A 22,837-nucleotide genomic window follows, 5' to 3' on the forward strand; every position below is an offset into this window, starting at 1 on the left:
TTTTTTGATGGAGTTTCACTCTTTTTGCCCAGGCTGGAGTACAATGGCATGATCTCAGCTCACTGCAACTTCTTGCCTCTCGGGTTCAGCCATTCTCCTGCCTCAGCCTCCCTAGTAGCTGGAACAACAGGCCTGCACCATCACACCCAGCTAATTTTTTGTATTTTTAGTATAGATAGGGTTTTGCAATGTTTGGCCAGGCTGGTCTCGAACTCCTGACTTCAGGTGATCCACCCACCTTGGCCTCCCAAAGTTCCTGGATAACAGGTGTGAGCCTGTTATCATGGTAGGCAGTATGACTATTTCTTTAAAAGTTAAATACACAATTACCATATGATCCAGCATTTCCATCTCTGGGTATATACACAGAATAATTTAAAGCAGGCACACAAACAGGTATTTGTACTGTCATGTTTCTAGTAGCATTATTTACAATAGCCAATAGTTGGAAACAAATGTCTGTAAATGGTTGCATAGATAAAAATGTCTCTGGGCATATACACAGAATAATTTAAAGCAGGCACACAAATAGGTATTTGTACAGTCATGTTTCTAGCAGCATTATTTACAATAGCCAATAGTTGGAAACAAATGTCTGTAAATGGTTGCATAGATAAAATGTGGTGTATGCATATAATGTAATGTTAGCCTTAAAAGGAATGAATTTCTGGTACATGCTAGGGTGTGGATAAATCTTGAAGATATTATACTAAGGGAAATAAGCCATAAAAAGACAACAATGCATGATTCCACTTCTATGAGGTACCTAGAACAGTCCAATTCACCAAGACAGAATGTTGAATAGTACATACCAGAGGCTGGGTGAGGAGATAGAGTTTCAGTTTGAGATGACATAGGAGTTCTGGAGATGGCTGCTAGTGATGGTTGAACAACAATATGAATATACTTAATGCCACTGAAACATATGCCTAAAAATGGTTAAAACAGTAAACTTTATATTATGTATATTTTACCACAATAAAAAAATTAAAAAAATAAAATGGCAGATTAAGAAATAGATAGAAGGGATGTAAACTTTACAATAAATTGTTACAGGAATTATTTGAATTAGAAAAAAACATGTTTTTAAGTTAAGGAGTATTAAAACAAAACAACAAGGAAAAAGTGATTAGGATGTATCTTCAGAAAAAATCAAGTCGGGATCAAGAAAGCAATTCTTTAAAGCTTGTGTTTTATTAGGTTAATTAAGACATAACTAGGTAGTTAACTAAAACCCTAAATAAGAAGTATGGGAACTATATAGCTTATCACACCAGATGCAGCATATATTAATCTGGACAGTTGCTATTTTGTGTGGTTTTTAACAAGTTTATTTATTACTTATTAATTTTTCCATTTGATGAAATAATGTGCTAGGTTTTTGGACAATGACTCAAGGAAGATGTGGGAGGAGGGGGAAGTGACTATAATATAGTTACTTAAAAAAACTTTTCATGGTTGTATGCAAACAAATAATTCATAAGCATCAACTGTCATAGCTATCCTCAAACTACAAGAACTCCAGACACAGATTATTTTTCTTGCTAACGAGGGTGTCCATAAAATTCATTCTCCAAACAAAAGAAATCGCAAGTGAAAATAGATGATAAAGATAGCATTAATATGCATAAACATAAACATAGAGAAAGAGAGACAGTGGGGAGAAAGAGAGGAGAGAGAGAGAGAGAAAGACATCATCAGGCATAAACTGAGGCTAATTTTGAAAGATAGAAAAGTAGGGGGGGAAATAGTAAAGACTCAAGAGTTCAGTTTTTAAATTCTCAGCCATGAACTCATTTAAATGGCTTAGTGAGGCATAGTGGGATGGTATAGAAAGAATAATCCCAACTTGGGAATGCTACTATGGAAACAATAGCATCATTTAAAATTTATCTTCTTGTTATGAGGGAAAAGTAAAGAGAAAAGGATGGTATCACATTAGGCTCCAAACCTTTTTAATTTCTAAAAATCAAGAGGAAAAGTTTCTTAATTAATTATTTATAATGGTTAGCATATTATCCTTAAATATGTAAAATTTATAGTACAGTAGAGTAGTGACTTTATGTGCGATACTTGATATATTGGTTCACCATGTATAATCAACTAACATAGCACATTTTTGTTTACATACAGCGTTGGTTCAAATTTTACTATTGTTTATAAAATACTAGTTTTCATAGCTGTGAAATTTTTGATGTTGTGTCTTTGGCTTGAACTGTATCAAAACGCTTGTCAAAGAAAAAGAAATCTACTTTAAGACAATCCCCCATTTACCTAAACATTGCAGTAAAAGTGAATGGCTATCTACAATTACTATCTGGTTTAGGAGACACTTGGAAAAATACAAGTATTCATTGATGAGGATATTTAATGTTGTGCAGCAATTTCATCCGAAGCAGGGTGTCCTTTATGCTGCTGAGAGAAAAGAGATTTAGGAAGGATAACTTTACAAAGAAAAGAAAAATAACAATTGAATGGGACTAATGGTCTAATTAATCCCATTAAGCAGGAGGTCTATTCGTATAGATAAGATTCCAGAGAGACAGAGAGAGAGAGAGAGAATAAGAGAGAAACTGTGGGGGGCAGATTTTATTTCTATCATTTGCACTCTTCCTTTCCACTTTCCCCACTTCATATCTCCAGCTTTGATTTGAGCAAAGTCAAAAGAGAGACACAACACTCTCATTTCTTAACCTGGTATCTACCAGGCCCTTTATGATTGTCCCTCCTTTCTTTATAGCATGTATAATACTGAAAACGTGAAGAGAAGGGGAAAACAAAGAAAAGGATCCTCAGGATAAAAAATGATTACAAATCATATGTTATAGTGCAAAGGTACAAATCCACAAAAGGTTTTTCATAGATCAATGAGTCATGCTTTACTAAAGTAGGTGGCACTGTTGGACTGTCAAAATAAAGATATATTTAAGGAAATTCAAAGACTTTTCTATTTGTTAAGCTGGCAAATACACGCATATGCCCTTTCAGAAAAATTACATTCATTTTTTCTGAGATATGAGTGTGAATTATTTATCTAATTATTTTGGTGAAGACAGAGTTGCAATAGAAGGACATAATAGGAGGGCAAAGAAGGAAGGCCGAGGAAGAAGGAAGGATCTCAGCGTTTCTTATTTTCAAATAGTTTTCCAAACAATCCACAGCCAAGATTTGTCTGTTTTAAGCTCACAAAGAAAGCAAATGAGATCATTTGACTTCCATTGATAACTATCTAAAATAGTTTTTGGAAGCTTTTGTTTATCATTCAGGGCAACAGTATGTCTTTCCCATCTACCTTTTTATGTAAGCAACTTTTTAAAAGTACATGAATAATGTAACCTAAGTAAATTGTGACATCAGATCACTCTGGCAAATTTATAAAATCAATTATAATTCTTAGGACAACTTTATTCTTAAAAGTATCTGCTTTCCTTCTTGTTAATATTTCAAATCATATAGGTATGAAAAAACATTTTATATGCATTTATGAGGTCTTTCTTATATTATCTGTCATGAGAGAGAATATGATCCAAATCAGATAACATTCAAATTTATATAACATGGTCCAGAAGTTTGCTTTAAATTTTTTTAAAACTAACTTTTTAAAGTTAAAAAATACTGGCTTTACTTTGTCAAGAGGTTATATGGTTCAAATTTAAGCCTGTATACCCCAGGTTTTGTAATCTTTGCAATATATGAGGCTGCCTATTATCTATGTTTACATGAGAGCTTTTAAGTATTTTGATGAAAATATGTATTAGTGTTCTTTAGAGATCATTATGTTAAGTGAAGTAAACGAGGCACAGAAAGACAAACATCATACGTTCTCACTTATTTGTGGGATCTAAAAATCAAATCAATTGAACTCACAGACAGAGAGTGTAGAAAGATGAGGCTGGAAAGGATGGTATAGGGTTGTGGAGGAGGTGGAGATGGTTGATGGGTACCAAAAGAATGGATAAGACCTACTATTTGATAGCACAATAGAGTGACTGTAGTCAATAATAACTTAATTGTATATATTTTTAAATAACTTAAAGAAATTGGATTATTTGTAACTCAAAGTATAAATACTTGAGGTAATAGATTAAATTAATTTAAGGAAATGCCATCAACTTTCAACTGTAAGATAAAATTGAAACATTTTATCTTAACATTTCCAAAACATAGCAATAATAGTCATATAATGGTTTCTAATTTCGTTGTAGGATTCTGTACTCCAAATGGTGACTGAAATGAGATATGAGGTTAAACAAATTCCATTAGAGCACCTATCTAAAAAATAAGGGCTAGTTTGAGATTTCTAAGTACAACGTCTTCTATTAATTTCTAAGTTTTTAACAATGTTTACCAACTTATAAAGCATTCCTTTCCTATCCTTCCACATAGTTACAAAGTTATAGATCAAGGTGCAAAAAGTGTTGTTGATGGAAACTCTTGCAGCATAGAGTGATAACATACCTCTTATTTCACAAGATATTAAAATATCATAGATCCATATATCCTTCTCATCAGCATTCCACTGGAAACCAATGGCCAATTTAAACATGCTGCCCAGTATGTGTCATGTACAAAACAAATTTGGTATATTTGTGAATAAAATCACAGAATACTGCCTCTTATTTGAAAATTCTGGAGAAACTGTCATTTTTTTTTTTTTGGCATTTAACTCAACTATAAAGTGAAGTTAAAGTACACGTATAAGTAAACTTTATGATCAAAATCATAAAGTGTTAAAGATTCCCCAGCATTTCAGAATTCTTTATTCCTCTGTACTTCAGCTGAATTACCAAAAAGTAGGAGGAAAAGTCACTGCTATATGATTTCACCCCGTATAAAGTTGACCTACAATTCTTACATCCTTGCAAACATTTTAGTATGTGAATTATTACAAAAATTCTTCAGTACTATATATAAAATACTTTATTTCTGAAAATTTCTATTCCAAAATTATATTAACTCTACTCTTGAGGATTCAGGGTGAATTCTTCTATAAAATAACAGTAATATTAGACTTCCTTATAAAGTCTGTCTATGTCAAATACTAACAACATTAACGTTAGACTTTCATAAAGACATATGTCCCCTTTTGTAGATTTGCAAAGATATTCTTCAACAATTATAAAGGAAAAAAATCAATGTATGTAATAAGATTAAACAGCTCAGATAATATATACATAATTTTATATATCTGTAAAATATGTACATTTATCATATATTTTATATGTATTTATATTTATGCATTGCATATATACAATTTAATAACAAATTTATAAATTATACACTTCTGGATTTAGTTGCTTATAAAACATTTACCTATAGATAAAACTTACACAAAATTTTTGTTTCAGTCAGCTTTAATACTTTCTTCTTCAGCTCATTGTATTTCTTAGTTTTCCACTGTATTGATGTCTACTTTATTTGCTAGATAAAGCTATGAGTTTGTTCATTCCTTTACTGAGTGAATACTTTGTTACAGACATCATGCCAATCAATCTCTCATTTTACTGAATGCAGAGCTGAAAGTTGCTAAGACGTTTGGCTCTGCTGCCCAGTAATTTATAACAGATAAAGAAAATTCAGGTTGAAAACAGCCTTGTTACTAACAGATCCCAGGCAATTTAATTGAATATGAGTCAATACTACCACCCTATTGGAATTGTTAAAATTAAATGAAGTACATAAAATGCCTGAGACCTAGTAGGCACCACTACATTTTTTAGTGGGTGTGTAGAGAGAGGATAGTGTACAGAATAAAGTTCCACCAAAGTAACACTAACTTTCTTGGAATTAGAATAGTAAGGTCATTCTTTCAAAAACATCAGTTTAAACAAAAATCAAAGGTAAAGCAAAATAATACAATTTAATCCTAATATTGAATATTCAGTTGATGTACTGAAATATTTTACATTATATACTTCTAAATGTAATTAAAGCAATTTTATTTTAATATTTATTGCTTTTTTTTATTCATTCGTTTTTTTTTTTTTGTGCTATAGGCAATCCTACTTATCAGGGGTTTAATGTGAGACCTGTCTTGTTCCAGTACATACTATTGTGGAAAGGACTTTAGAAAGGGAGAGGAAGAAGTACACTTAGAATTTTATAACTTATGATAGTATATAGTTAAATGGTATCTTTCATCATAAGTCTCTTTCAAGTGTCTTCAAGTTTCAATAGCTGTAAGTAAGCAGTGTGATGGCAAGAGAAGAAAATAAAATTTAATCTCCCACAGAGCAATTTCCCCTCCACTATAGATTCCTTCTAAGCTAAATAATTAAGCCTAATATTGATAGATAATACTTAGTGGTATGTTTGTGTGACCTTGTTATTTTTAACCTCATAAACCATAAGTATAGGATCCATAATTAGTCTCTGTGGTAGTATCAGCAAAGACATTGGAACTGAGCTCTGAGAAAAATTCTCTCTTTACAGTTCCTCTGCAATTAGGGTTGCAAGGCTTAGCTCACTGGGAATAGGTGTGTGTTAGGGGCTGGATGGGGGACTGGGGAGAGGGGAAGTGAATAATGGATAGGCATAGAGAAAACCCCCATGGGCTGAATCGATAGGACAGAAGTGTGAATTGTGGTGAAAGTAGGTGTGGAGAGAGACAAGGAAGAGAGGCATCCTCAGAGTAGGTGTGGGTAAATGAGGACAGGTTTTGGTTAGCTAAGCAACAGGTAGTTGGTTCTCTTGTCACCCTGACCTGGCCTACCCAGGTCATTAGAAAAATTAGGTTTTGGTTGTATACTGTCTTCAGAGATAAAGTCTGGATCTGAAAGTTACCTGAACAGTAATTAACATGCCCAGACATGGCTCTAGAAGTCTGTAGTTCTGAAAGTAACCTGTCTACAGTATGATATATTGGCTATTTCATTGATGAATCCAGATATAACTCTATAGTGCTTGTTGTCATTAATTGGCTTAAACAGTTCAGTGAGCATCAGATCTGGTGCGAGATAGGTTTGTGTTTAAATATCTACTCTCACACCTATTAACTGTGTGACCTTGGGCAAATTTTTTAACCTTTCTAAGACTTAGTTTCATGATATGTGAAATCAGGATAATAATTTCTGTGCCAGTTAATATATTGCCAGGCACTTAAAAGCAATCAGCACTTTTTATATGACCTTTTTTTCCTTATAACCATTTATTATGTTAAAGGGAAAGGATTAAGGGAGATCTAGATCTTAGTTCATATATAGAAATGTTCATATAAAGAGTATTCATATAATGGGGCCTAAAGCAAACCACACTGAAACATTTTACACAAAGCCCTTTTACTATTCTCAAACATTCTGCAAAGTCTTAATGAAGTCTCAAATGTTATTTCATTTATATCTACCTGGAATGCTTAAAATTTCAAAAGAAAGAAGAGCCAATGATGATTTAATAGCCAATTTACTTCTTATAAATTTCTACTCTTTCTTTAACTACTTGAATGCTCTTTTTAATGATGTCCTAATTCTTGCTACCCTACAAGGTCTGATCTACCTTAACTTATTCCTGGAAATGACAGTCAATCTGAGAAGGAAAATGCTATAAGTTAATAAGCAGAATTTTAAAATGACCCTCAAGAGCAGCAGATGAATTGCTAATTAGAATTATCACTGTTGCCTCCGTAAGACTGTTCTAATATCTGAATTATGTCAGTACATTAAAAGTAGAAAGTTCATTAATGTTTTTAATTCATATCTATTATTTATAAAGCAAGTATGAGATGGGAGTATAGATGTGAGTATATTTTCTGCTTCTCACTATCTGTCCTCTGAGTTTCTTATTCTTCCCTTCTGGCAGGAGGACTAGAATGAGACTGGGCTCTTGCAGTCAATTCGGTCTAGGTTCAAGACCCAAGATAAGCACTTAACATTTGTATGACCTTGAACAGGTGATTTAACCTTTCTGAAATTCATTTTTTTCTTTGGTAAAAATCTAGGATTACAACAAGCCCAAAATTTTATTATGTCAAGGTAAAAGGTTATTAATATACAGCTTTAATGTTTAATGGTAGATTTTCTGTGCCTGACAATGATCCTGTGCTTCCTAATCTCAATCATAGGCTTTTCTTTTCATATTAGACAATGCTAGTGACACATCAGTTAAAGAGGTGTGAGCTCATGGTGATGGCAAGTGTGTGTTGAATTGGATTACATTCTCTATCTCATCCAGTGCCTCTTGTACGCATCTTTGAAGAAAGTAGCTGTGGATATGGGTGGAAGCATAAAGGATCCTAGTAACTGAATAACATCAGTAACACATTCATGATTTTATCTTCATTAGCAATAGGACTCAAGCAATTGAAAAACCATTGACTTTGTAAAAACACATGTGCGTGGGCCAGGCACAGTGGCTCACGCCTGTAATCCCAGCACTTTGGGAGGCTGAGGCGGGCAGATTACTTGAGGTCAAGAGTTTGAGACCAGCCTGCTCAACATGGTGAAACCCAGTCTCTACTAAAAATACAAAAATTAGCTGAGTGTGATGGCACATGCCTGTAATCCCAGCTACTGGGGAGGCTGAGGCAGGAGAATCTCTTAAACCGGGAGGCAGAGGTTGCAGTGAGACAACATCACTGCATTGCTCTCCAGCCTGGGCAACGAAGTGATCTCCGTCTCAAAACAAACAAACAAACAACAAACCAAAAACAAACAAAAGCACATCTGCTTGCTCTTGTGTAGAGAGATTCCTTTTTGATTTCTTTGTAGCACTAGTTTAAAAAATAAGAAAATTAAAATAATAAGCTTCAAGTTCCTGAGTTATCAAAGGTAAGTTAGCGTTAATATATTCATTAATAAAAAGTGATATTGTTATATGAGTCAAAGTTAGTGAAAGAATTGAACACGTTTGATTATATCAAACTTCTAGAAAATAATCATCATATTTACATTATATACTTCTCAATGAAATTAAAGCAATTTTATTTTAATATTTATTGCTTATTATTTTTATTCATTCTTTTTTCGGTGCTATAGGCAACCCTACTTATCAGCCGTTTAATGTGAGGCCTGTCTTGTTCCAGTACATACCATTGTGGAAAGGACTTTAGAGAGGGAGAGGAAGAAGTATATTTAAAATTTTGTAACTTATGATAGTATACAGTTAAATGGTATAAAAAAATCATGTTCTTACCTTAGGACATTTTTCTGGTGTATGGTGCAATATGAATACTTTTAGTAGCAAATAGCTAAAGATAAGATAATTTTAGGACACGGGCGGTGACTCACCCATGTAATCCCAGGAATTTGGGAATCTGGGGTGGGTGGATCATTGAGGTCAGGAGTTCTAGACCAACCTGGCCAACATGATGAAACCCCGTCTCTACTAAAAATACAGAAACCCCATCTCTACTAAAAATACAGAAATTAGCCAGGTATGGTGGCACACGCCTGTAATCCCAGGTACTTGGAAGGCTGAGGCAGGAAGATTACTTGAACCCGGGAGGTGGAGGTTGCAGTGAGCCAATATTGTGCCACTGCACTTCAGCCCAGGCTACAGAGCAAGACTCAGTCTCAAAAAAAGAAAAAAAAGAGAAAATTTTATGATTTTTTTTTTCTTCTAAATATGATGGTCAAAAGTAATTCTCAGTCTTTTGAAAATAGTAAAGGATGCTGTAAAATATATATAAATAAAAATAACCCTAAGGAATATTATCTATTTCTCAAAGAAAGTTAAAATAATACAAGCTTGGATATGGCTGACTTAATTAAAACTAATTAACATTGTTATTGTGTAACTAATGGCTTGAAAAGAGCAATGTCATGAGCCATCAATTATGGATTAGTGTAAAAAAGAGTAGGTGCTATAGACTAGAATGACACTATAAGCCTCAGGGTGTTTTGATTTTTTAAATATATTTATCTGAAGTATATTTATCAGATTATAATATAGCATTACAGTTGTAAAATGATAAACATAATATCACTAATGAATTGTTTATCACTAAAAAACTGTTTACAGGGTGTTATAGGGATTAGGGTGTTTTATGAAGTAAGATTTTTTCTGGACTTCAGTAGTTCACTTACACATGTATTTTGTAAGGAAGTCTAGAATAAAATTGGAGGTTTTAAATACTTATGAAGGATGTCTATTTCACTGGTTATTTTCTTCCTTTGTGTGGAGCCAATGGGCATTATATTTTTTATATTTTGGGAGGAGTTTTATTTATATTTTCTGAAATGATAGTTGATTCGGCCCTATTATAATGAAGCTTTCATGAGGCTTTTCACAACTCTAAAAATTGTATTCTTCTCAACTTTGTTTCCCATGCGTCCTACATTGAAGTTTTTAAAAATCTTTGCTTCTCTAAACTGCTAGTTTCTTCTGTGACTTCTCTTCGAACTCTTCCCTGTACTATCCTACCCCTTTATTTTAAACTTTTAATATTTTGCCTTACATAAAGGGTTTTTTTTTCTTTTTTTCTCTATACATCATAAATTCTTCAAGGATTGTGATATTAACTTATTCATCTGTTAATTCTCTCAGCATTTTATATGAAGTTATATGGGATATATATGAAAAAGTGCCCATAAGAGTACATAAAATATTAAATAAAATTGATATATTAAAATATCATGTTATTTTGGAATTTGTAATACATTAACAATGAGTATCTTCAATCTAACCATGTGTATTAGTCTGTTTTCACGCTGCTGATAAAGATATACCCAAAACTGGGTAATTTATAATGGAAAGAGGTTTAATGGACCCCAGTTCCACGTAGCTGGGGAGGCCTTACAATTATGACAGAAAGCAAAAGGCACGACGAACATGGCAGCAGGCAAAGAGAGAGCCTGTGCAGGGGAACTCCCCTTTATAAAGCCATCAGATCTTGTGAGTCTTATTCACTATCACGAGAGCAACATGGGAAAGACCCATCCTCATGACTCAATTACCTCCCACTGGGTGCTTCCCACAACATGTGGGAATTGTGGGAGCTACAATTCAAGACAAGATTTGGGTGAGGACACAGCCAAACCATATCACCATGTTTTTATGAAAACGTTGAAGAAGTTTAATGTTGTCCATTTATTTATATTTATTTATTTACTTATTTATTTGAGACAAAGTTTCACTCTTGTTGACCAGGCTGGAGTGCAATGGCGCGATCTCCGCTCACTGCAACCTCTGCCTCCTGGGTTCAAGCGATTCTCCTGCCTCAGCCTCCTGAGTAGCTGGGATTACAGGCATGCACCACCACACCCAGCTAATTTTGTATTTTTAGTAGAGACAGGGTTTCTCCATGTTGGTCAGGCTGGTCTCGAACTCCCAACCTCAGGTGATCCATCCATCTTGGCCTCCCAAAGTGCTGTGATTCCAAGCTTGAGCCACCACACCCAGCCTGTCCATTTATTTTTACAAATGAAAAGAATCTCCTTATGCTCTAGTAGATATATACAATGTTCTAGTTAAGAATGTTCTATTGGCCAAGCATGGTGGCTCACGCCTGTAATCCCAACCCTTGGGAGGCTGAGGTGGGCTGATCACTTGAGCCCAGAAGTTCAAGACTAGCTTGGGCAACATGGTGAAACCCTGTCTCTACAAAAAAAATCCGGGCATTGTGACATACATGCGGACCTATAGTACCAGCTACCCCGGAGCCTGAGGTGGCATTATTTCTGAAACCTTTGTTCTGTTCCACTGTTCTATATATCTGTTTTGGTACCAGTACCATGCTGTTTTGGTTACTGTAGGCTTGTAGTATAGTTTAAAGTCAGGTAGTGTGATGCCTCCAGCTTTGTTCTTTTTGCTTAGGATTGTCTTAGGTATATGGGCTCCTTTTTGGTTCCATATGAAATTTAAAGTAGTTTTTTTTTCTAATTCTGTGAAGAAAGTTGATGTTAGCTTGATGGGGATAGCACTGAATCTATAAATTACTTTGGGCAGTATGGGCATTTTCATGATATTGATTCTTCCTATCCATGATCATGGAATGCTTTTCCATTTGTTTGTGTCCTCTCTTATATTCTTGAGCAGTGGTTTGTAGTTCTCCTTGAAGAGGTCCATCACTTCTCTTGTAAGTTTTATTCCTAGATGTTTTATTCTCTTTGAAGCAATTGTGAATGGGAGTTCACTCATGATTTGGCTCTCTGTTTGTCTATTGTTGGTGTATATGAATGCTTGTGAATTTTGCACATTGATTTTGTATCCTGAGACTTTTCTGAAAAGAAACTAGCGTCAGAGTGAACAGGCAACCTACGGAATGGGAGAAAATTTTTGCAATCTATGCAGCTGACAAAGGACTAGCAGCCAGAATCTACAATGAACTTAAACAAATTTACAAGAATAAAATAAACAATCCCATCAAAATGTGGGCAAAGGATATGAACAGACATTTCTCAAAAGAAGATGTATATGCGACCAACAAACAAATAAAAAATGCTCATTAACACTGGTCATCAGAGAAATGCAAATCAAAACCACAATGAGATATCATCTCACGCCAGTTAGAATGGCAATCATTAAAAGTCAGGAAACAACAGATGCTGGAGAGGATGTGGAGAAATAAATGGTTTTACACTGTAGGTGGTAGTGTAAACTAGTTCAACCATTGTGGAAGACAGTGTGGCGATTCCTCAAGGATCTAGAACCAGAAATACCATTTGACCCAGCAATCCCACTACTGGGTATATACCCAAAGGATTATAAATCATTCTACTATAAAGAAACATGTACACGTATATTTATTGTAGCACTATTCACAATAGCAAAGACTTGGAACCAACCACATTAATGATAGACTGGATAAAGAAAATGTGGCACATATACACCATGGAATACTATGCAGCCATAAAAAAAGAATGAGTTCATGTTTTTTGCAGGGACATGGATGAAGCTGGAAACCATCATTCTCAGCAAACTAACACAGGAACAGAAAACAAAACACCACATGTTCTCTCTCATAAATGGGAGATGAACAGTGAGAACACATGGACATAGGGAGGGGAACATCACACACCAGGGCCTCCTGGGGGGTAGGGGGCCAGGGGAGGGATAGCCTTAGGAGAAATACGTCATGTAGATGACAGGTAGATGGCTGCAGCAAACCACCATGGCACGTGTATACCTATGTAACAAACCTGCACGTTCTTACCCCAGAACTTAAAGTATAATAAAAAGAAAATGAAAATAAAAAAAAGATACATTGCTCTGCATCTCCAGAAATCTCAGCTGGTAAGATTCACTCGACAAATCTTCATTGTAATAAACAGGGAATTCTAGTGAAACACGCTGTGAAGTACATTCCAAAAGTGATATTTCCATGAAGGAGCTTAAGCCCCTTGGAAAAGTCATCACCTAGAATCCAGAGATACTTTGAAATGCAAATAGTCCACTTGAGACAAGGAGGCACCTGTTGTTCTGCCTTGATTATGTCTTCAGGCCTCAATTTCAAGTAAATGAGAGAGCAGAAGGAAGGTGTTCTTTTGATGAGTTCTGCCCTCAGGGTAATAAAGGCAGAGGGAGAATTGCTAGGTGGTATCCATTCCTAATTCTTTCCTGGCCATCAGAAATTACAAAACACTCACTGTCATTTTGAGATGTGAGCAAAGTATAACTTTGGTTATATGCTGCCGGTTTTTCATTAATAGTTAGCAGTGAAACTGAAAAGTTAAAAGAGTATTTACTTGCTGTCTGTGGGAAAAACAGGAAAGGAAAAACCTAAGAAGAAATTATTACATATTCCTGTATGTCTCCAGGGAAACAAAGCATCGAAGAAGGGTAGGTAAGTGACAATCACTAAGAGGCAGGAGGAAAGTGATCTGCAAAGGATAAAGAGATGAGAGAATATGGCGAGGCTTGGATCTGAGAACAGGTACTCACGCTTAGCACACAAAGAACGTGATCATGAAATGCTGACTCAAATATGTCCATAGATGACCTAAGCTATGCAAAGGACAAGAGATACATCAATAAATAATTTAGATATATTTTGTGTTATTTAGTATTCAATACCATTCATCAGTAATATTACCTATCTTCATTCATCAGTAATATTACCTATCTTCATTCATCAGTAATATTACCTATCTTTGGACAATTCTCACACTTCCCTAACTACAGTAGTCATTTACCTATCTTCTTAAGCCTCCTACTCAATCATATTTTTATTATTTCTGCATTCTTACAATTTTAAAATATAATTAAAGTTATTTGGCATAAATGAATTTAGTTTTCTTTTTCCCTCTCTCACATATATTGACATTTTCATTTATCTCCAATTTATCTTCGCTATCTTATCTCATTCACAGGAGATGAGGTGCTCCTTCTCTGCATCCTCAATCGAGTCCAATCTTTTCACTTTTACATTTGATCTCATCTTTTTTTTTTGTCAACAGCTACATTACTCCATCAATATATCCTCTATTCCATTTATATTTGACCTCTAACTCCTTCAGTCACCTCTCTCATCCTGTTTATAAGGAATTTTCTACTGTTTTTCATTCCCAAGCTCCTCCTCAAATAAAAAGCCTTTTATTAACCATACACACCCTAATTATACTTACAATCACTAATCTCTCAGTTTTAATTGATTCACCAACACATTTCAGTTTGTTTTCGTTTTCATCCTCAAGACTAATTAAACATGAAAAGTGAAGTTCATCAGTGACTCAATATTGCCAAATCCAGTGAGAATATTCACTCAAGTTACTGGACCTTTTTACTGTATACTATACACCAGGCACAACTGTCTATAACTCATTACTCTCTGGTATTCTGTTACACTATTTATGTAATTTTCATTTGTGGGCTCTTACTCTCCCTATCACTTAAATATTAGGACTGCCCACAGTTCTCTCTCAAATCCATTACTCTTTATTTCTCTTTGCTTTCATATCTGTTTTTGAGTTTTAGGTATGAACCATGATTGGCTTTGGTGATTCCCGAATCTCCATGTTTAATCCATACATCTATATTGACTTTCATATTCATATATATGTGTACATATATATGTTTATTTATTTATAGCCAAACATACCTACTTTGAATTTTTGCAGCCACCTCAAACAAACTTTCACCTCTTTTCCTCAATCCTTGCCGGATTCCTTTTCCCTGATAGTATCACCTAGACCCTCAAGGAAATACCTTAAAGTCATGTAAAAACATTCTCTTCTTCCATTGTATGGCTCTTCTTCCATTGTATGGCTCTTATTCATTGTCTTCTCAAAATTTGGCTCTTTGGGGAAATTATTCCTCTCAGAAAAGCTTCCATTAAACCTCAAACTGAGCTAAGTGTTCACCTCTATCCTCTTCATGGGTATTTAACACTGCATTTGACACAATAATATGACATATTTAAATGTGTTTACCTACCTAATGAGGGAGTTTTCCATGAAAAAGATACATGATATATTATCTTATGTTCCATCAAACTTAACTAAGATTCCCATGCTTTTTTCCTACTTTTTTTCCCATGCTGTTTTTCCTCCCATGCTTTTTTCTTTTCCTCCTAGAAAAATATAAATAAAAAGTTTCTAGTTAAATGACATTGGGTTTTTGAGCCTGATTGCTTTGTCAACAACTTCATAGTGACATCACAACTAAAGGCAAGAAGTAATACTCTTATGATTTAAAGGGCAAAGCAATGAGGTTTCTTGTTATTCCTTACTAATCACTGCTTGTTTTGACTCTGGAGATTTCCTCATTTCAAATGGTAGTCATAAGATTTATGTGTAAAAACGTATAATTTTATTGTAATCTTTTTTGGTGTAGGCTGTGTTCAATATCACTTACTCTGTGGATTTTAAAAGTTCGAATACAGTGACCTCTAAGAGGGGCACTCCTCTGATTCTAATTGCCCCAAAATTGATGTGATTGTTTTCTGAAGAAGTAAAATGAATTTAAGTATTTAGACATTTATTTAAGTGGATGATTTTCTTTCCCTAGGAAGGACATAACTGAAACAAGAAAAAATAAATCTTATAAAAGATTTTCAGCAGTTTATTGATATCAGGAGGCAAATTGTTTAATTAAACATATATATTTATATATATGTGCACACACATACACATACACATATACATATTTAAATCTGTCCTTCTATGCTTTATCTTATCCCACAGATATTCAATATTCTTATAAGGTTACTCAAAGCTACATGTGATTATTTGTTTGGACATTATATTAAATATAGTTGGTTTCAAAGCAAAAATTGCACAAGACAAATTTTAACAGAAAAGAAAGATTTATTCAAGGCTATTGCAATAGGAGACAGAAGCCATATCTATGTTTGAACTCAACTCTGGAAACAAATGTTGGGCTGGGATGAGCTATATAAGTACTGGGGGATATTAGTGAGGAGGTTGATCAATGAGCTATGTTGAGCACACTGAGTTATTTCCTGTTTGCAAATGCTTTTCTCTGTAATTAGGTCCCCTGTGTTTGCTAATTGGGGCCCTTCTAAGTTAGGGATCTACTTTCCCATAGGGACTGGGAAGATAGGGGCACAATATTCCTTGATAATTGCATTTGAAAGAATGGCTTCCAAGTCCTTAAGAAGGACGTTTATCTATTGTAAAATTGTCAATAGGCTTTTAGAAAGATTTACATATACAGATATTCCTTGACTTGAAGCTAGTTCCAATAAACCCAAAATAAATTGAAAATATTCTAAGTGGATGAGGTGCGGTAGCTCATGACTATAATCTCAGCATTCTGGGAGGCAAATGCAGGAGGATTGCTTGAGGACAGAAGTTCAAGATCAGCGAGACAACATAGTGAGACTCCATCTCTACCAATTTTTTTTTTTAATTAGCTGGGCACGGTGGTGCATGCCTGTAGTCCCAGCTACTTGTGAGGCTGAGGCAGGAGGATCCTTTGAGCCCAGGAATTGGAGGCTGTAATGACCTATGATCACCACTGCATTCCAGCTTGGCTAACAGTGCTAGATATTGTGTCTCAAAAAACAAACTAACTAACAAACAAAAACAAGTAAACAAAGAAAATACTGCAAGTGGAAAATGTATTCAAACATTCAATTACACCTAAGCTAAGGAACATTATAGCTTAGCCTACCTAAAAGGTGCTCAGAGTAATTGTATTATTACATTAGCCAAAATTCAGCAACATCATCCAACCCAAAGCTTATATTACAATAAAGTGTTGAATATCTCATGTAATTTATTAAACACTGTACCAAAGTTGAAAAAGAGAATTTTTACATAGGTACTCCAAGACAGTTTCTGCTGAATACATATCATACAATAATAAAATTGAAAATTGTTAAGTTGAACCATTATAAGTTAGGGCCATCTGTATCACAAAGGGGCAGAGAATTTGCAATTACATGTTTTCTAAATAAAATGCTCTAAGAACAGGGAGATCAGAGCCAAAAGTCAGGAAGAAGCCTGTCTAAAATTTAATCAGCAGAGGGAAACATTAAGGCCATCTTAGTCATTGAGCTTATTAAGAATGTCCAAATTCCCTAGACACATGTTAAGTAGAGGACTATGACTGTGGTTTTATTTTGTTATCAAAGCTGCTCAAGTGTAACCTAACTCAGGACATCATTTAGGAGGAGAACACGGTAAACCAAAATATATTAATAAGGAAGTGGCAGCCTTAATATATGAGATGGCATATTTTTAGAAAAAATTCATGTAAGTGAACCATAGCAGATATGACAACAAATTTTGGCAAAGAGAGGAGACATTCGTGAACTTAGATTTTTGTTTTTTTTTTTGAGACAGGGTCTTAGTCTGTTGCCCAGGCAGTGACACGATCACTGTCACTGCAGCCTTGACCACTGGGCTCAGGTGTTCCTTCCACCTCAGCCTCCTGGGTGGCCAGGACTACAGGCGTGCACCACCACACCTGGTTAATTTCTTCTATTTTTCGTAGAGACAGGGTTTTGCCATGTGGCCCACGCTGGTCTGGAAATCCTGAGCTCAAGGCATCCACCTGCCCTGGCCTCCTCCCAAAGTGCTGGGATTGCAGGTTTGAACCACCATGCCCAGCCTACTCTTGGGGACTCTTCAGTTGCCTTACTTAGACAATTTATTTCATGGTTTTGTGGCAGGTCTACTGCCTGCCAATAATTCATAACTGTAGCATCCTGGATCAAAATTATGGCACGTGTAATCTTAGTGTTTATTTAATTTAGCTCTAATGATAATGAATAAAAATAAATTTGGCATTTGAATTAATATTTTATACTGCCCCAAACTTAAAATTCTTTTTATCTGTAAAATTAGAAGCCAATCCTCAGGTAATAATGTCATTCTTTTTGTTTTGAGATAATTATATAATGTTCATTGTATCTTTTAAACATCTGTATTCTCTTATTTTCTAGATATTTGCAGAGGAAAGTAGTTTATACCAGACTATGATATCATATATACATTACTATGATCTATAATTAAACATAAATAAAAATATTGTACATTACTCTTTTGAGCAGCATTTAATACTGTAAATTTTGTATGAAGAGTCACTGCATATGAATGAATACCTCTACTTTTGATAAGAGCCTGAAAAATCTGTATACAGGCAGAGTTTTCCCCTGAAATTATAATAGGTAGAATCAGTGTGAATATTAATTCTTTTTTGAATTTAAAATAATTCTTGTCCCATTACTATGTGTGAGGCTCTGTTCTAGGAGCAGGGAATACCACAGTGAAGTAAATAGGGACAAAACTCACATACATATGGGTGGAGTCTGAAAGAAAGGAAAATAAAGAAACAATAATATAGTATATTTTAAGATTGTTAGTGTTGTGGGGAAAAAAATCAGAAGTTAGGGAGTTCGGCAGTTCACATTTAAAATTTTAAATATAAGAAACATTTTCTTTTGCAAAGTTTTGTGTGTGTATGTTTTAAAAAATATTTTGCTTTTTAAGAATGTTTAGCTTGGTCTTTTATTTCATGCTATTAAATATGCTGCCATTTTTATTCTGTTAAGTTTTAACCATATCTGGCATTCAGTGTTAAAATTAATAAAATCACTACGGTTGTTTTATGTGTCTTTCTTTAACTTTTCCTTACATGTCCAATATGATGAAATATTGTGGCATATTATAAAGTTTGCATCATTTCTAAAAAAAAGTCAATGAACACAAAAATGAGTAGATTGATATCATTTTTACTTATTTCATTTACCTTATCTTTCCTGTTTGTTGTTATTTTTAGGTGGGAGAATCATATTGCTGTGAGTTATTCTGCTAATTTCTTTTTTCTAGGATAAAGGAAAAGTACCTGGATCAAGAGTTTAAAAACTAATTTCATTATGCAAATAGGTGTATGGTATGTGCATGCATTGCCTGTTATTTGGATAGTAAGTATCTGTTGAGAATATTATGATTTCATTATACCATACATAGGAGAGTCAGAGAACATTATTTTTAAGGACAATTTTTAGTAGATCCATGATGAACTCAGATTATATGAACTGTTAACATTTTACCATTTAAAACAAACATATCAATATTGACATTCAGCATAATAAAATCAATTTTTTAAAGGGTGATTAAAAAAGAGAAAACCAGGCTTTATGCTTATGTGTGGAAAACATATCTACCAAAATATATTTATATGTATTAAGCTTCCTTTGAATAATACTGTGCTTCAATGGAATAATAGACCTACTGGCCACTTTTTAGAAAATAGAAACAAAGTCAATTTTATTACAATTGTTGTCCTTATAATAATGTGAATTAGAAAACTATATGTTTTCAGTAAAACCTCTTGTAAGGACAATGGAGTTCTTGAAATGTGGGCTTTCGTAAAGGGCCAACTGGCCCAAATTTCAACCTCATTTGAAGAATGGTATATGATTGGCTTTGCCCGTTTCTGACAGGGACTCAGCCTGGAGAGAAGGGGGCTTCTGGGTCAGATTACTTTTTTAAAGTCGTGAATTCCCTATGAATTTAATAATTTATTTATACTTCTACCTGGAGAAAATCAAACAATGCTTTTTCCTTTTAAAATTTCTTATGTTTGATATTGCCACCCCATGGCTTCTATTTTTCTCTTCAAACTGGTCTTTTATGCTTACTTTTAATTTAGGACAGGTATCATCCTGGCTTCTGTATACCTTTAAGGATTGATTTAGGTGATACATGTCTCAAGGGGCTCCCCTATCTCTGACACATATTTGATTTTAGAGTTTCATTCAACAATGATGCATTGGTCATAATTGCCCTTGATTTTTTAGACAATTTCCAATAAATGTGATCAAATACAATCTACGTTTGCCCCAAACAATACAGTTTCTGATAGCTGCTTGTGACTATTTAAATTTAAATTTAATTAAATAAAATTAAATGGAATTCAAATTTAGTCCCTCAGTCACACTAGCCCCATTTCAAGTCCTCAAGAAACGCATGTGGCTAATGATTACGGTGGTATAGTAGAGATAGAGAACATTTCCATTATTGCAGAAAGTTTATTGAATGGTGCTTATATATGTTTTTATTGAGAAATAATGCAACTGACTTTTAGATTAAAAATCCATCCAAGTTCTCCACAACTCTATTAAACAGAAAAGCTGAAACTAGCTTCCAGATCTTTGGCATCAAGTAAGACGCTTTTTAAGAGTTCAGCTGCGCCCAGGAACATGGGCCATTTATAATGCCTAATTTTCTATTTAATGGTTTTCCTTCCTTGACCTTGCAATCAATATAGGAGAAAAGTTTTGCTGTATTCATTTATATGAAGAAGAAAATTATTAGGATACCAGAAGTTGTATTTAATTTTTTGTTTGAAAATGTATACATGTATCTAGATTCTTTGATGTGAACTTAATATTTAATGATGATCCTTAAAATATCAGTATAGCTTAACATTTCTAACAATCCTAGAAGTGAGAGATAATAGAATATTTTGACAGTATGAGTTTAATTTGTGTTGTAAAGGTCTTAGAAGGGTCTGAAAGCCTCATGACAAGTCAGAAGGTGGAAGGCATTGTCAAGATATCTCATTTACAGATCACAAATATATACTGTACCATTGAACTCATCTTCCAACTTTCTTGTGAATCAGATTTGGGGTTAGGTTAGACCCCAAAAGGTTTTACTACCTATGGGACAGGTTAAATAAACATGTTAAGGCTAAATTATGTGGGTGCATCAGAAGCAAGTTTTTATTGCTGTAAGAAATAAAAGCAGAGTTTTTAGAGAGGCTTTTATAATGTATCTTTAAACACTTTATTTACTGTGGGGCAGAAATTACATACAGTTTATCTTCTATGCAATTCCTTCCAAAAACAATTGTGTATTTGTCACAACACACACATCAGATACTGAGAGTTAAAAATAGATATACCTACCAGCAGATGTGGTATTTTTCATTTTCAAGTAAATCTAGTCCAAATCATGTTTTCTTTCTTGGGGTGTGTGTTCATTTTTTCATTGACATACCAGTGTGTGGGTATCTTCAAGTTATATGTATTGCAGTCGTGGCACTGAAACCCGGTCCATAGCCAGTTCACCACATCAATGCTTAGGCCCAAGGAAGATTAAGTTAAAGTAGCTCAACAGTGCATCTGGGAAATAGGGCCTTTCACCTTTATTTTTTTCTAAAATAGATGGTTGCCTTCAGTAAAGCCAAAGTAAAAGAAACCACAAATCCTCCTTAAATAATAATCTTTAAACTTTTATAGGGGTTTTCATTTAATGCAGATTGTTTGCCTCTTGACTACCTAATATTTATATCTCTTTTTATTTACTTTATTTTAACACTGTATTTCTTTTGTGTAGGCAATTGTGTATTTAAGAAATGATGGCCACTATCACTTTAATTTTCTCTTTCTTTCCTGTAATTGACTAAATTTATAAAAATATTCTGAAACTTTTGTGTCACATTAGAGTAGTAGTTTGATTCCAGTTGAACCAACATTGGAAATCACTTATTTAATCTTTTTCTGTTCACTTCATGTGGCTTCTTCATACAAGTGTTTCTTAGCCAGCACACACATTCTTATCGCCTGAGGAGCTTTTGGAAAAAATGAATGCTGGTGCTAGGATATTCTCCCAGATCAATTAATAATTCCCTCCACCAGATATGACAAGGTATTTTTATTTTACAACCCTTCTCCATTTTTCTTGAATTTGCTGTGATCCCACACTTTACGTAATTTGGCTAGAACATTGAAAACAACGTGCTTGTTAAAAAGCTAGTATGTATACATATAAACCCATGTTTGTACTATAACACACTGACTCTAATAACTGGGAAAATACCCATAATGAATCTTAATTTCTTTACTAGGAGATTTATGGGGAAATATTTTGTTGATGCCTTCCACGCTTTTAATGCCCTCACTGTGTGATAAACAGGAACCATGTATCAGAATGTAGCCAGGTGTGGATTGAATTGGAAAGAAAGGATAGTTCATATCCCAGCTTAAGTTATCCATTAGGAAATACATGTGAATTTAATTCACCCGTTTTCATCTTTAAGATTATGCACATTAAATAGGGAGCAGACTCACTTATTTAAAGACTTATTCAGTTGAGACTGGGTTTACAGTAATTTTATAAGTATAGACATCTGTGTTTAGTGCCACGTTCAGCATAGTTTGTTGAATAAAAACCAAATTTTAAATTCTAGAAGAAAGTTTTGATGCATTTTTTCTAACCAAAACCCAATATATTTAAAATATAGTTTAAAGTGCTAAATGGCATTATTTTATCCATAGTTTTCCTTACCAATACAATTGTTGAAAAAAAAATCTGATTATCACAAAGATGAATTGCCTAAGTCCAGGAAAATGTGCAAATATAGAACCAGTGAAATCTTCAAACAATCTTCTTTGCAGAATGCCCAAAGTTTCTAATTAAGGTCAGTCCTTAAGTAACATGTAAATATATTCAATCTAATATTGATGAAGCCAGATACAGCATAGTGA

General features: G+C 34.1%; 1 protein-coding gene across 11 annotated transcripts in view, besides 1 other annotated feature; it reads left to right on the forward strand.

The window, feature by feature from the left end:
- The window catches only part of CADM2 (cell adhesion molecule 2), a 1,115,441-nt gene that overhangs the window by 148,724 nt on the left and 943,880 nt on the right, over positions 1 to 22,837 (forward strand). The gene's annotated exons all lie outside the window — the stretch shown is intronic.
- Positions 12,831 to 13,661: an enhancer, noted in NCBI's record as "OCT4-NANOG hESC enhancer chr3:85169693-85170523 (GRCh37/hg19 assembly coordinates)". NCBI's record gives its function as "activates a minimal SCP1, AML or CMV promoter by ChIP-STARR-seq in primed H9 embryonic stem cells {active_cell/tissue: H9 hESC(primed)}" and the evidence as "EXISTENCE:reporter gene assay evidence [ECO:0000049][PMID:30033119]".

This window comes from Homo sapiens, chromosome 3 (genome assembly GCF_000001405.40).
Source record: "Homo sapiens chromosome 3, GRCh38.p14 Primary Assembly".
Classification (NCBI taxonomy): Eukaryota; Metazoa; Chordata; class Mammalia; order Primates; family Hominidae; genus Homo; species Homo sapiens.